The sequence below is a fragment of the Homo sapiens genome, chromosome 7 (genome assembly GCF_000001405.40).
Source record: "Homo sapiens chromosome 7, GRCh38.p14 Primary Assembly".
NCBI classification, from domain to species: Eukaryota; Metazoa; Chordata; class Mammalia; order Primates; family Hominidae; genus Homo; species Homo sapiens.
In genome coordinates this window covers 74,943,384-74,959,597 of record NC_000007.14, presented here as the reverse complement: position 1 = coordinate 74,959,597, position 16,214 = coordinate 74,943,384, and the positions used below count along the sequence as shown (strand labels likewise).

The following is a 16,214-nucleotide window of genomic DNA, read 5'->3' as shown; positions in this document are numbered from 1 at the left end:
ACCATCACGCTGTAAAGAAGCTTGCAAGAAAGATCACATGAAGAGGTCCAGGTGTTCCAGCTGTGTCAGGCCTCTGCCAACAGCTAGCACCAACTACTAGAGCATGCTAAGATGTGAACGAGACCATCTTGGGCTTTGCATCTGACTGTCTAACTGAGTGCAGCCACACACATGAGCCCAGGTGAAACCAGAACTATCCAGCCAACCAATAGAAACACGATGAATAAAAAATAGCTGTTGGCTGGGCACAATGGCTCACGCCTGTAATCCCAGCACTTTGGGAGGCCAAGGCAGGTGAATCACAAGGTTAGGAGATTGAGACCATCCTGGCTAACATGGTGAAACCCCGTCTCTACTGAAAATACAAAAAATTAGCCGGGCATGGTGACGGGCACCTGTAGTCCCAGCTACTTGGGAGGCTGAGGCAGGAGAATGGCATGAACCCAGGAGGTGGAGCTTGCAGTGAGCTGAGATTGCGCCACTGCACTCCAGCCTGGGTGACAGAGCGAGACTCTGTCCCCCGCCCCCCCAAAAAAAATAGCTGTTGTCTGGGCACAGTGGCTCACACCTGTAATCCCAGCACTTTGGGAGGCCAAGGCGGGTGGAGCCCTTGAGGTCAGGACTTCAAGACCAGGCGGGGCAACATGGCAAAACCCTTTCTCTACAAAAAAATACAAAAATTACCTGGGCATGGTGACGCACGCCTGTAGTTCCAGCTACTTCGGAGGCTGACGTGGGAGGATCACTTGAGCCCAGGAGGTTGAGACTGCAGTGAGCCGTGTTTGCACCATTGCATTCCAGCCTGGGTGACAGAGTGAGAACCTGCCTCTGACAAAAAAAAAAAAAAAAGTTATTTTTCGTCATTAAGACTTGGAATGGTTTGTTGGGTAGCAATGGATATAGCTGACACATCCCCGCAGCCCTCACCTTCTCTCACTATGTGGGTGTACCCAGTCTCTGGCTTCTAATGTCAAGGGCCTCCAACTTGACACTTCCAGCTCAGAGTATGTTCTTAAGGCCCTCCCTCACTTATAGAACTTCCTAGTGGTTAGCTATGATGCATGGCAAACACATCTGGCAACAGTAACATCAGCATACCTTGAAAATGACCCCATGGTCTAAGAAGAGTATGTGTTGAAAGTTCTAAGCTAAGGAATCCAGGAGTGGCCAACCCGGAGATTCATTTCTTATCTATGAGGAACATCTGAACCCCTGGACCATCTAGGGGATGGTGGCCTTTGTTTGGGGTTAAATGAAGGTTGCCAGAGGGAGGGTGCTAGGGGGAGGGTGCTAAGTGGAAATGCTCTATAAACTGCATGCTTTTTTTTTTTTGTGAGATGGAGTCTTGCTCTGTCACCCAGGCTGGAGTGCAGTGGCGCCATCTCGGCTCACTGCAAGCTCCGCCTCCCAGGTTCATGCCATTCTCCTGCCTCAGCCTCCTGAGTAGCTGGGACTACAGGTGCCCGCCACCACGCCCAGCTAATTTTTTGTATTTTTAGTAGAGACGGGGTTTCACTGTGTTAGCCGGGATGATCTCGATCTCCTGACCTTGTGATCCACCCGCCTTGGCCTCCCAGAGTGCTGGGATTACAGGCATGAGCCACCGTGCTGGGCCCAACTGCATGCTTTTTATAAGCAGGTGTGGTTCTCCTGTTCCACCTGCCATGTCTGGACTACCCTGTAAGTCCCCTCAATAAACCCTATGTCTTGCTTGCTGGCCAGGCATGATGGCTCATGCCTGTAATCCCAGCACTTTGGGAGGCCAAGACAGGCAGATCACTTGAGGTCAGGAGTTTGAGACCAGCTAGGCCAACATGGTGAAAACCCCATCTCTACTAAAAATACAAAAAAAAAATTAGTTGGGTATGGTGGCATGCACCTGTAATCCCAGCTACTTGAGGGGCTGAGGCAGGAGAATCGCTTGAACCGGGGAAGCGGAGGTGGCAGTGAGCCAAGATCACGCCATTGCACTCCAGCCTGGGCAACTAGACTCTGTCTCAAAAAACAAACAAACAAACAAACAAAAAACAGGCCAGGTACGGTGGCTTATGCCTGTAATCCCAGCACTTCGGGAGGCTGAGGCAGGTGGATCGCCTGATGTCAGAAATTTGAGACCAGCCTGGTCCACGTGGTGAAACCCTGCCTCTACTAAAAATACAAAAGTTAGCAGGGCATGGTGGTGAGTGACTGTAATCTCAGCTACTCGGGAGGCTGAGGCAGGAGAATCGCTTGAACCTGGGAGGCGGAGGTTACAGTGAGCTGAGATTGCACCACTGACTCCAGCCTGGGCAATAGAGTGAGATTCCATCTCAAAAAAACAAAACAAACACAGTACAAACCAAAAAACAAAACCCAGCTGGGTGCACTGGCTCACGCCTGTCATCCCAGCATGTTGAGGGGCTTGAGTTGGGCAGATCACTTGAGGTCAAGAGTTCGAGACTAACCTGGTCAATATGGTGAGATCCTGTCTCTACTAAAATTACAAAAAAATTAGCTGGGAATGGTCGCATGTGCCTGTAATCCCAGCTACTAGGGAGGCTGAGGCAGGAGAATCACCTCAACCTGAGAGATGGCGGTTGCAGTGAGCCAAGATGGCGCCACTGCACTCCAGCCTGGGCGACAGAGTGAGTGAGACTATGTCTCAAAGAAAAAAAAAAAAAAAAAAAGAAAAATCTCCAAGTATGTTTGGAAGAGGTTGACCAACTGCCCTGATTTTCCTGGGACCAAGGAGAATTTCAAGATGTAAGACTTTCATTTTTGAAACCAGGACATTCTCCAGGAAGACAAATTGGTCACAGGACTTTGAAACAATTTACTTATGTAAATCTATGAACTCTAAATACAGATCGAGTATTGTGAATGAAAATTAAGCATCCAAACTGAGATGTGCTATCATGTGTAAAATGAACCCTGGATTGCAAAGATTATTATGAAAAAACTTCAAAGTATTTTATTAATAATTTAAAAATATTGATTATATGTTGAAACACTTTTTTTTTTTTTTTCTGAGATGGAGTCTCACTCTGTCACCCAGGCTGGAGTACAGTGGTGCAATCTTGGCTCACTGCCACCTCTGCCTCCTGTGTTCAAGTGATTCTCCTGCCTCAGCCTCCTGAGTAGCTGAGATTACAGGCATGCGCTACCACGCCCAGCTAATTTTTTTTTACAGCAGAGACAGGGTTTCACTGTGTTGGCCAGGCTAGTCTGGAACCCCTGACCTCAAGTGATCTGCCCGCCTCGGCCTCCAAAGTGCTGGGATTACAGGCGTGAGCCCCCGCACCAACTTTTTTTTTTTTTTTTTTTTGAGATGGAGTCTTGCTCCCTCGCCCAGGCTGGAGTGCAGCAGCACCATCTTGGCTCATTGCAACCTCTGCCTCCCGGGTTCAAGCGATTCTCCTGCCTCAGGCTCCTGAGTAGCTGGAGCTACAGGCGCGCGTCATCATGCCCAGCTAATTTTTGTATTTTTGGTAGAGACGGGGTTTCACCATGTTGACCAGGCTTGTCTCGAACTCCTGACCTCAGGTGATCTGCCTGCCTCAGCCTCACAAAGTGCTGGGATTACAGATGTGAACCACTGTGCCTGGTCAAAATGCTAATATTTTGGCAGCACTTTGGGAGGTCGAGGCAGGCGGATCACTTGAGTTCAGGAGTTTGAGACCAGCCTGGCCAACATGGTGAAACCAAACCCCATCTCCACTAAAAATACAAAAAAATTAACTTGGTGTTGTGGCGGGCGCCTATAATCCCAGCTACTCAGGAGGCTGAGCCAGGAGAATTGCTGAAACCTGGGAGGCAGAGGTTGCAGTGAGCCGAGATCATGCCACTGCACTCCAGCCTGGGCGACAGAGTGAGACTCTGTCTCAAAAAAAAAAAAAAAAAAAAAATAGCAGAGTGAAGTCAGCACCCAATTCAACATGGCAGGTTCTAGAGAGGTTCAAATCATGATGGGGCTGGGTGCGATGAGGGGAGGTCTCTTCTGTTACAGGCTACCGTTAGTCCACACTTGGTCTGACCTAGTGGCCTTCTGTGCATGGCGGCCGCCCGGCATAGATTTTGATGATTTCCCATGTCACAAGCTTTGTCTTCACAAGGTGAGCTTCTGCAGCCTCCCTGTGGCTAAGATGCAGGCACATCAGACCTGTGTATGGCTCAGGTTCAGAAGTGAGCACAAGGTTCATGGATGGGATTTCAGAGAAGGCAGCAGGGATTTGTCTGGTAACAATTACTGTATACTACATAGCTCACACTTAGTGGAGAAAAATGACAAAATAGCCCGGTGCAGTGGCTTATGCCTCTAAGCACGGTGGCTCATGCCTGTAATCCCAACAACTTGGGAGGCTGAGATGGGAGGATTGCTTGAGACCAGGAGTTTGAGACTAGCAAGATCCTGTCTTAAAACATTTTTTTAAAAAAATAGCTGGGGATGGTGGCGCACGTCTGTTGTCCCAACTACTTGGGAGGCCGAGGCAGGAGAATCACTGGAACTGAGGAGTTCAAGGCTGCAGTGAGCTGTGATTGCACCACTGCACTGTTGTCTGGGCAGCCAGGCAAGACCCTGTCAAAAAGAAAGAATGAAAGAAAAGAAAGACAAAAGAAAGAAAGGAAAGGCCAAAGAAAGAAAACAAAGACGAAAGAAAGAAAAGATGAAAGAGAGAGAGAAAGAGAAAGAAAGAAAGAAAGAAAGAAAAAGAGAAAGAAAGAAAGAAAGAAAGAAAGAAAGAGGAAAGAAAGAAAGAAAGAAGAAAGAAAAAGCAGGAAGGAAGGAAAATAGGACATGACATTATATTAACTCATTAATTCTTCTTTTTTTTTTTTTTTTGAGACGAAGCCTCACTCCATCACCCAGGCTGGAGTGCCGTAGCACAATCTCAGTCACTGCAACCTCTGCCTCAAGCAATTCTCATGCCTCAGCCTCCCGAGTAGCTGGGATTACAGGTGCACACCACAATGCCCAGTTAATTTTTTTTTTGTATTTTTAGTAGAGACGGGGTTTCACCATGTTGGCCAGGCTGGTCTGGAAGTCCTGATCTCAGGTGATCCTCCCGCCTCGGCCTCCCAAAGTGCTGGAGAATTCTTTTTTTTTTTGAGACAGGGTCTCACTCTTACCCAGGCTGGAGTGCAGTGGCGTCATCACGGTTCCCTGCAGCCTCAAGCGATCCTCCCACCTTAGCCTCACAAGTAGCTGGGTCTACAGGCACACACCACCACACCTGGCTAATATTTGTATTTTTTGGTAGAGATGGAGTTTCATCATGTTGCCCAGACTGGTCTCAAACTCCTGATCTCAAGTGATTCTCCCACGTCTGCCTCCCAAAGTGTTAGAATTACAGGTGTGGGCCACCGTGCCTGGCCTGAACTCACAAATTCTATAGGTTGCTAATTCAGACAGGGCCTGTGAGAACAGTTTGTCTTTGCTCTGTGGTATCTGGCCTTTACTTGGAAAGACCTGAATGCTGGCGGTGATTTGGATGCCTGGGGGCTGGGGTCGCCTGGAAGCTTCTTTACTCTGTGTCTGAAGCCTGGTTGACGGGTGCCTCTCTCCATGGGGCTAGGGCTTCTCACAGCTTGGCAGCTGGATTCCCAGAGAGGATATCGCAGGGAGAGTCTGGAGAGCAAATGTGCCAAGAAAGTCAGCTGGAAGCCACATGGCCTTTTATGACCTAACCTCAGAAATCAAGCTGGGTGCGGTGGCTGCTGGACGCGGTGGCTCAAGCCTGTAATCCCACCACTTTGAGAGGCTGAGGTGGGTGGATCATTTGAGACCAGGAGTTTGACACCAGCCTGGCCAACATGGTGAAACTCCGTCTCTACTAAAAATACAAAAATTAGCTGGGTGTGGTGGTGCGTGCCTATAATCCCAGCACTTTGCGAGGCTGAGGTGGGCAGATCACTTGAGGCCAGGAGTTTGACACCAGCCTGGTCAAGATGGTGAAACTCTGTCTCTACTGAAAATACAAAAATTAGCCAGGCGTGGTGGTGCATGTCTACAGTCTCAGCTACTCGGGAGCTGAAGCATGAGAATTGCTTGAACCCAGGAGGCAGAGGTTGCAGTGAGCCGAGGTTGCGCCCCTGCACTCCAGCCTGGGCAACGGAGCAAGACTCCATCTCAAAACAACACACAAAAAAAGAAATCATAGGGATGTCACCTGCATGGTATTCTCTGGGTTGAAACAGGTACAACCCCAGCTTGAGTTAGGGGAGGGGGCTGATATAGTCTGAATATTTGTCCCCTCTAAATCTCGTGTTGAAATGTGATCCCCAGTATTGGAGATGAGGCCAAGTGGGAGGTGTTTGGGTCATGGGGGCAGATGCCTCATGAATGGCTTGGTGCCCTCCCTGTGGTAATGAGTGAATTCTTGCTCTTTTCACTCATTCTTTCAAAGAGCTGGATCTTTGAAAGAACCTGGCATGTCTGTTGCTCACCACGTGATCTTGTCGGCCCCCCTTCATCTTCCACTATGATAGGAAGCTTCCTGCGGTCCTCACTAGCAGCAGATGCTGGCACCATGCTTCTTGTACAGCCTGCAGAACCACGAGCCTTTATAAATCACCCAGCCTCAGGTATTCCTTTATAGCAACAAAAACAGACTAAGACAGGGTCATAGACCCTGCTTCTTGATGGAGGAGGACAAAGTTACTTTGCAGAAGAGCATGTTGGATGAAGTTACTTTTGTAGCCATTTTGGGAAAATACAACTTGACATTTAGAAAGGTGAAGTCCTGGAGAAGGTGTGGCTGTGGAAGCTGCCACAGCTTCATTTTCTTCCTTCCTTCTTTCTTTCCTTCCTTCCTTCCTTCCTTCCTTCCTTCCTTCCTTCCTTCCTTCCTTCCTTCCTCCCTCCCTCCCTCTCTCCTTCCCTCCCTCCCTCTCTCTCTTTTTTTTTGAGACAGAGTCTTGCTCTGTTGCCCAGGCTGGAGTTCAGTGGTGTGATCTCAGCTCACTGCAATCTCCGCCTCCTAGATTCAAGTGATTTTCATGCCTTAGACTCCCAAGTAGCTGGGACTACAGGCGCCCCCCACCACACCCGGCTAATTTTTGTATAGCGGAGATGGGGGTTCACCATGTTGGCTAGGCTGGTCTCGAACTCCTGACCTTAAGTGATCCACCCACCTCAGCCTCCCAAAGTGCTGGGATTACAGGCATCAGCCACTGTGCCTGGCCCACAGCTTCATTTTCTTATCAGGACAGTTCTGCCCCATGGTGCTGGGTAAGGGTCCTATAACTTTAAGCCTAGACTTTATTTCTTCAGCTTTCCAAAAGATCCTGTTCTCTGTTCAATGTTTTAAAATTAAGCTTTTTGGCCGGGTACTATATAGCTCATGTCTAATCTCCGCACTTTGGGAGGCCAAGGTGGGAGGATCGCTCGAGGCCAGGAGTTTGAGACAAATTTGGCCAATACAGTGAAAGCCTGTCTCTATAAAATAAATAAATAAAATTAGGCTTGTTATCTTAAGATAATTGTAGATTCACTTGCAATTGTAAGACATTAATACCCAGAGAGCCCTCGTGCCCTTCATGCAATTTCCCCCAATGGTAACAGCTTGCAAAACTGTAGTACAATCTCACAACCAGGAAATTGCCTTTGATACCATCCACTGAACTTATCCAGGTTCTACCAGTTTTACATGTAATTGTGCGTGTGTGTTTAGTTCCATACAATTTACTCAGTACTCTAAAAATAGACTCTTCATCTTACAATGGTTTTAAATTTACAGAAAAATTGTTAAGACAGTAGGATTTGCATATATCCTGTACCATTTCCCCCTTTTATTAACATCTTGCACTGGTATAGTATATTTGTTACCGTTAATGAACTGAAATTAATACATTGTAATTAACTTAAGTCCATACTTTAGTTAGATCTCCTTAATTTTTACCAATTTCCTTTTTCTTTTCTTTTTTTTTTCTTTCTTTTTTTTTTTTTTTTTTGAGACGGAGTTTCACTCTTGTTGCCCAGGCTGGAGTGCAATGGCGCGATCTTGGCTCACCGCAACTTCCGTCTCCCGGGTTCAAGTGATTCTCCTGCCTCAGCCTCCCGAGCAGCTGGGATTACAGGCATGCGCCACCACCCTGGCCAATTTTGTATTTTTAGTAGAGACGGGGTTTTCTCCATGTTGGTCAGGCTGGTCTTGAACTCCCGACCTCAGGTGATCCACCCACCTCAGCCTCCCAAAGTGATGGGATTATAGGCGTGAGCCACCGCGCCTGGCCCAATTTCCTTTTTCTGTCCGAAGATCCCATCCGTGACACCATGTGACAGTTAGTAGTAATGTCTTCTTGGGCTCTTCTTGGCTGTGATAGTGTACAAAAAAAAATTAATTTTCTTTGAGACAGTCTCACTCTGTCACTCAGGCTGGAGAGTAGTGGTGTGATCATAGCTCACTGCAGCCTCAATCTCCTGGGCTCAAGTGATCCTCCCTCCTCAGCCTCCCATATTTTTAATACAGACAGGGTTTCACCATGTTGGCTAGGCTGGTCTTGAACTCCTGACCGCAGGTGATCTGACCTCAGGTGATCTGCCCGCCTCGGACTCCCAAAGTGCTGGGATTACTGATAGGAGCCATCACACTTGGCCAGTTTACTTGATGTTTTAAAAATAAATTCCTCTGCTATGTAAACTGACCAGAATGGATTCTGTTGATTGCAACTAAGACCCATAACTGATGCAGTTGGCATTCAAGCCTCACGCCGGCTAATTTTGTCTCTGTGTGTGTGTGTGTGTGTGTGTGTGTGTGTGTGGTAGAAATGGAGTCTTGCTATGTTGCCCAGGCTGGTCTCAAACTCCTGGCCTCAAGTGATCCTCCTGCCTTGGCTTCCCAAAGAGCTGGGATGACGGTTGTGAGCCACCACACCTGGTCAGTTTACTTGACATATTAAAAATAAATTTCTGGCCAGGTGAGGTGGCTCACACCTGTAATCCCAGCACTTTGGGAGGCCAAGGGGGGTGGATCACTTGAGGTCAGGAGTTCGAGACCAGCCTGGCCAATATGGTGAAACCCCATCTCTACTAAAAATACAAAAATTAGCTGGATATGGTGGCACATGCCTGTAATTTCAGCTACTCGGGAGGCTGAGGCGGGAGAATGGCTTGTACCCTGGAGGCAGAGGTTGCGGTGAGCCAAGATCGTGCCACTGCACTCCAGCCTGGGCGATAGAGCAAGAATTCGTCTCAATAAATAAATAAATTCATTCATTCATTTCTTTGCTATGTAGACTGACCAGAATGGATTCTGTTGCTTGCAGCTAAGACCCATAACTGATGTACTTGGCATTCAAGGCTCACTGTGGTGTGGTCTTTGCTTATATCTCTGGTCCCATCTGCCACCATTCCCAGCCTAGTACTTTACCCTCCAGTGAAAGATCTCTCTCCCTCTTCCATACTCTCTCATGGCCTCTGACCCTTGTACAGGCTGACAGATCCATATTTATTTCACCTCTGTCATCACCTCCTCCGGGAAGCTTTCTGTGATTTTTCCCAGCAGTGTGGGGTACCTGCCTCTCATCTGTATGTCCACAGTTCTTTGGGGCAGGGCCATATGCTCGTTAAGATCATGGTCTCTGGCCAGGTATGGTGGCTCATGCCTGTAATCTCAGCACTTTGGGAGGCCAAGCTGGCAGATCACTTTGAAGCCAGGAGTTCAAGACCAGACTGGCCAATATGGCAAAACCCCTCTACTAAAAATACAAAAATTAGCTGGGTGTGGTGGTGTATGCTTGTAATCCCAGCTACTTGGGAGGCTGAGGCAGGAAAATCACTTGATCACTTGAACCTAGGTGGCGGAGGTTGCAGTGAGTGGAGATTGTACCACTACACTACAGCCTGGGCGACAGAGACTGTCTCAAAAAAAAAAAAGGCCGGGCGCTGTAGCTCACGCCTGTAATCCCAGCACTTTGGGAGGCCTAGGCGAGCAGATCACAAGGTCAGGAGATCGAGACCATCCTGGCTAACACGGTGAAACCCCGTCTCTACTAAAAAATACAAAAAATTAGCTGGGCATGGTGGTGGGTGCCTGTAGTTCCAGCTACTCTGGAGGCTGAGGCAGGAGAATGGCGTGAACCCAGGAGATGGAGCTTGCAGTGAGCCGAGATCGCGCCACTGCACTCCAGCCTGGGCAACAGAGGGAGACTCCACCTCAAAAGAAAAAAAAAACCACAAAAAACAAACAAACAAACAAAAACAAAAAAAGGCCGGGGGGCGTGGTGGCTCATGCCTGTAATCTCAGCACTTTGGGAGGCTGAGGTGGACAGATCATGAGGTCAGGAGTTCGAGACCAGCCTGGCCAACATGGTGAAACCTTGTCTCTACTAAAAATACAAAAATTAGCCAGGTGTGGTGGCGGGCGCCTGTAATCCCAGCTACTTGGGAGGCTGAGGCAGGAGAATTGCTTGAACCTGGGAGGCGCAGGTTGCAGTGAGCTGAGATCGTCCCATTACACTCCAGCCTGGGTGACAAGAGCAAGACTCCATTTCAAAAAAAAAAAAAAAATCGTGGTCTCTGATGTCAGACATAGCTGAGTTCTGACACTGCCTTCTTCTAGCTGCGTGGTTTTAGGCATGTTGTTTATTTTTTATTTATATTTTTATCTTATTTTATGATTATTTTTATTATTATTTTTTGACAGAGTCTCGCTCTGTCACCCAGGCTGGAGTGCAGTGGCGTGATCTCAGCTCACTGCAACCTCTGCCTCCCAGGTTCAAGCAATTCTCCTGCCTCAGCCTCCTGAGTAGCTGGGACTACAGGCGCATGCCACCACACCCAGCTAATTTTTGTATTTATAGTAGAGACGGGGTTTCACCATGTTGGCCAGGCTGATCTTGAACTCCTGACCTCAAGTGATCTGCCTGCCTTGGCCTCCTAAAGTATTTTATTATTTATTTTTTTACAAAAGAGATGGAGGTTTTACTAAGTTGCCCAGGCTGGTCTTGAATTCCTGGACTCAAGCAATCCTCCCGCTTTGGCCTCCCAAAGTGCTGGGATTACGGTCATGGATGTGATTACCACCACACCCGGCCTGAACACACTGTTTAATCTCTGTGAATGCTCTTTTCCTCCTAGGTAAAATAGCATAATAAGAGTTCCTGACTCATAGGTTGCAACAAAAACTGAAGAAAATGCTAAAAAGCGCACAGCATGGCTGGGCGCAGTGGCTCACGCCTGTAATCTCAGCACTTTGGGAGGGTGAGGTGGGTGGATCACGAGGTCAAGAGATTGAGACCATCCTGGCCAACATGGTGAAACCCCGTCTCTACTAAAAATACAAAAATTAGCTGGGCGTGCTGGTGCGCGCCTGTAATCCCAGCTACTCGGGAGGCTGAGGCAGGAGAATCGCTTGAACCTGGGAGGCGGAGGTTGCAGTGAGCTGAGATTGCACCACTGCACTCCATCCAGCCTGGTGACTTGAGTGAGACTCTGTCTCAAAAAAAAAAAAAAAGCAAACAGCACACAAATTAGGCCCATGGTCAATGTTAGCTGTGGTCATTCCTATGGTCATGCCCAGAAGCCCTGACCTGTCATTCATCGCATGAAGTTGAAATGGTCCGATTCCATGGGGGCTGTCACTTCCCTTATACCAGTTGCTTAGCTCCAGGATGGCAGAGGCCACTCCTTTTTCATCTTTCTATTCTCAGAGTTGACCTAAAAATAGGTGTTTGTCAAGTGGCCTAAATGGATTACCCACCCCAGCTCCTGTAGTTCCTGCCACATGAGACACCATGAGAATCTTCTTTTCTAGCTCTGTGCCAGGAAAGCTTTTGCTGCCTCCGAAGACCTGGGAAGTTTTCTCCTTGGGGACAATTAGGCAACATGGCTCAAGGGCTGCTGCTGGTATCTGGAGTCTGTTAGCCTGGGTCCCTTCCCTTCCCCTTCCCTTCCCCTTCCCTTCCCCTTCCCTTCCCCTCCCCTTCCCCTCTCCTTCCCCTCCCCTTCCCCTCTCCTTCCCCTCCCCTTCTCCTCTCCTTCCCCTCCCCTTCTCCTCTCCTTCCCCTCCCCTTCTCCTCTCCTTCCCCTCCCCTTCTCCTCTCCTTCCCCTCCCCTTCCCCTCTCCTTCCCCTCCCCTTTCCCTCGCCCTCCACTCCCCCTTCCCCTCTCCCTCCCCTCCCCCTTCCCCTCCCCCTCCCTTTCCCTTCCCCTCTCCCTCCCCTCCCCTCCTCTTTCTTTCTTTCTTTCTCTTTTCTTTCTTTCTCTTTTCTTTCTTTCTTTCTTTCTTTCTTTCTTTCTTTCTTTCTTTCTTTCTTTCATCTCTTCTTTCTTTCTCTTTCTTTCTTTCTTTCTTTCTTTCATCTCTTCTTTCTTTCTCTTTCTTTCTCTCTCTCTTTCTTTCTTTCCTTTTTTTTTTGGAGTCTCACTCTGTTGCCCAGGCTGGAGTGCAGCAGCACGATCTCGGCTTACTGCAACCTCTGCCTTCCAGGTTCAAGCGATTCTCCTGCCTCAGCCTCCCAAGTAGCTTGGAGCTTGGACTACAGGCACCTGCCACCTCGCCCGGCTAATTTTTTGTATTTTTAGTAGAGACGGGGTTTCACCGTGTTAGCCAGGATGGTCTCAATCTCCTGACCTCGTGATCCACCCGCCTCGGCCTCCCAAAATGCTGGGATTACAGGCGTGAGACACCACACCCAGCTAATTTTTGTATTTTTAGTAGAGATGGAGTTTTACCGTGTTGGTCAGGCTGGTCTTGAACTCCTGACTTTAGATGATCCATCCACCTTGGCCTCCCAAAGTACTGGGATTACAGGCATGAGCCACTGCACCCAGTCTAACCTGGGTTTCAATCCCAGCTGTGTGGCTTGCATCCTGTGTGAACCTTGGTGGACTTATTTCCCTCTCTGTGCCTCATTTCCTTATCTGCTAGTTTGGCCTGACACACAGGACCGGCTACATAATTTGCAGGGCCCGTTCCAAAATGAAACTTGAGGGCTCTTGTTGAAAAATTATTAAGGATTTCAAAATGGCCACCGTACAGCATGAAACCGAGTGTGTAATTGCATGGCTCATGCCCCCTGAGACCGGCTCTGCTGACACTCACCCAGAGTGCATGCTGGTTTTTTCCTATCTTGCTCAGTGCTCTGTCCACAGTCCCTAGAACAGTAGGTACAGACTGAATACATGTTTATTGAATAGGCCGGGTGCAGTGGCTCATGCCTGTAATCCCAGCACTTTGGGAGGCTGAGACGGGTGAATCAGGTGAGGTCAGGAGTTCGAGACCAGCCTGGCCAACATGGCGAAACTCCGTCTCTACTAAAAATACAAAAAGTAGCTGGGTGTGGTGGCTCATGCCTGTAATCCCAGCTACTCAGGAGGCTGAGGCGGGAGAATTACTTGAACCTGGGAGGTGGAGGTTGCAGTCAGCAGACATCGAGGCACTGCACTCCAGCCTAGGTGACAGAGCAAGACTCCATCTAAAAAAAAAAAGTTTATTGAATAAACAAACAAACAAACAAATAAATAACTAAATGGAGGCTGGGAGAAGTGGCAGCTGGTGGGGTTGGGGATGGCACAGGGCTCTCATGTCTGCCAGTCTCCTCTCTGGGACTCAGTTTCTTCTTTCTCTCTTTCTTTTTTTTTTTTTTTTTTTTTTGAGATAGAGTCTCGCTGTTGTCCAGGCTGGAGTGCAATGGCGCAATCTTGGCCCATTGCAACCTCTGCCTCCCAGATTCAAGCGATTCTCCTGCCTCAGCCTCCCAAGTAGCTGGGATTACAGGTGCCAGCCACCATGCTCGGCTAATTTTTGTATTTTAAGTAGAGATGGGGTTTCACCATGTTGGCCAGTCTGGTTTCAAACTCCTGACCTCAGGTGATCTGCCCATCTCTGCCTCTCAAAGTGCTGGGATTACAGGTGTGAGCCACCACGCCCAGCTGGGACTCAGTTTCTTTATCTGTAAACTAGAAGGGGTGGCCTGTGATCTTGAATCTTCTTCTAGGTCTCTAGTTCCATGCCACCATCACTCAAAACAAATCTGAGCTCCCCTTTTGGGATTTGCCATCAGAGGTGGCAACACTTTCTTCTGACTTTTTGTTACCCGTGGCTTGGTTATAAAAAACAGACAAGGCCGGGTGTGGTGGCTCAAGCCTGTAATCCCAGCACTTTGGGAGGCCGAGGTGGGAGGATCACTTGAAACCAGTAGTTCAGGACCAGCCTGGGCAACAAAGCAAGACCCCATCTCTACAAAATGTAATAATAAAAAAAGAAATCAGCTGGTTGTGATGACAGGTGCCTCAACAACTCAAGAGGCTGAGGCAGGAGGATTGCTTAAGCATAGGAATTTGAGGTTGCAGCGAGCTATGCTCCTGCCACTGCACTGGAGCGTGAGTGAAACAGCCAGACTCTATCTCTAAAAGAAAATATTAAAATTTAAAAAAAATTAGTTGGGTGTGGCAGCACACACCTGCATCCCAGCTACTCAGGAGGCTAAGGCAGGAGGATCACTTGAGGCCAGGAATTGGAGGTTGCAGTGAGCTGTGATCACACCACTGCACTCCACCCTGGGTGACAGAATGAGACCCTATCTCTAAAAAAAAAAAAACAATACAACAAAAACAAACAGATGTCAAAGGAGGGGCTCAAACAAACAAATATAAATTAAAAACAGAAAGAAAGAAAGACATAGGCCAGGCACAGTGGCTCACTCCTGTAATCCTAGCACTTTGGGAGGCCAAGACAGGTGGATCACATGAGGTCAGGAGTTCAAGACCAGCCTGGTCAACATGGTAAAACCCCATCTCTACTAAAAATACAAAAATTAGCTGGGTGTGGTGGCGCATGCCTATAATCCCAGCTACTTGGGAGGCTGAGTCAGAATTGCTTGAACCCGGGAGGTGGAGGTTGAAGTGAGCCGAGATCACGCCATTGCATTCCAGCCTGGGCAACAAGAACAAAACTCTATCTCAAAAAAAAAAAAAAAAAAAAAAAAAAAAAGACCGGGTGCGGTGGTGGCTCATGCCTGTAATCTCAGCACTTTGGGAGGCCGAGGTGGGGGGATCACGAAGTCAGGAGATTGAGTCCATGCTTGCTAATTTGGTGAAAACCCGTCTCTACTAAAAATACAAAAAATTAGCCCGGCATGGTGGCAGGTGCCTGTAGTCCCAGCTACAAAAATTAGCCAAGCATGGCAATGCATGCCTGTAATCCTAGCTACTCGAGTGGTGGGGCACAAGAATCTCTTGAACCCAGGAAGCGGAGGTTGCAGTGAGTCAAGATTGCACCGCTGCACTCCAGTCTGGCCAACAGAGTGAGATTCTGTCTCAAAAAAAAAAAAAAAAAAAAAAGGAAAGAAAGAAAAGAGAATGCCTTTAGGAAAGGAAAGCCTCAGTGCTCTTCCTGGCACACAGTAGATGCTCAGGAAGTATCTGTTGAATGAATGAATGAATGAATGAATGAATGAATGCATGGACAAAGCAATTCTTTGGCAGTCTGGCTTAAGGGCAGGCTCCCTTTATGGCTTGTATTCTGTACTCTTTCCTGACTTATGAAGGAGGAAAAGAAGGAAACGGGTGTGTGTCCAGGGCTTCTCTGTGGTGCCCGTGGGTACATTGTTGCGTCTGATCCTCTGGAGAGGTAGGGATTCATGTGCCCTTTCTACAGATGGGGAGACTGAGGCTAGAGGAGGTTAGGAGGAAAGGTGCACGTGGACCCAGCTTTCCTTGGGTCTCCCCAGGGCTGCCCCAGGACTGAGCAGGCAGAGGTGGTAAAGGAACACCTATGAGTCAGATCAGTGAGGGAACACTAGGCACCATGGTGAGGATGACAGCTCCAGGCTGTCCATAGGAAAGGCTGCAGCAGGACAAGAGGCCACTCAGTCATTCCCTCCTATCTCTCTCTGCACCTGGGCTCACTTCCATCTGCCTCTTCTCCTCTCCTCCCCACTCCTCAGCTTGTGCCCTTTCAGCATTTTTTTTTTCTTTCTTTTTGGTCTTAATCCATGGCTGAGGACTTGCCTGTGCGGTTTCTGTTGCCCAGGCTGCAGTGCAGTGGCATGATCCTGGCTCCCTGCAACCTCCGCCTCCTGGGTTCAAGCAATTCTCCTGCCTCAGCCTCTCAACTAGCTGGAAATACAGGTGCATGCCACCAAGCCTGGGTAATTCTTGTATTTTTAGTAGAGACGGGGTTTCGCCATGTCAGCCAGGCTGGTCTTGAACTCCTGACCTCAAGTGAGCTGCCCGCCTCAGCCTCCCAAAATTCTGGGATTACAGGTATGAGCCATTATGCCTGTCCTGCCTG

General features: G+C 48.4%; 1 long non-coding RNA gene across 1 annotated transcript; it reads right to left on the bottom strand.

Moving 5' to 3' along the window:
- Nucleotides 1–6,288: 6,288 nt before the first annotated feature.
- Nucleotides 6,289–11,861, bottom strand: LOC105375352 (uncharacterized). The gene is made up of 3 exons (XR_001745244.2): nt 11,679–11,861; nt 8,161–8,292; nt 6,289–6,522 (listed from the first exon to the last, which is right to left on the bottom strand). It is a non-coding gene; the product is annotated as an uncharacterized LOC105375352 (long non-coding RNA).
- Nucleotides 11,862–16,214: the final 4,353 nt, after the last annotated feature.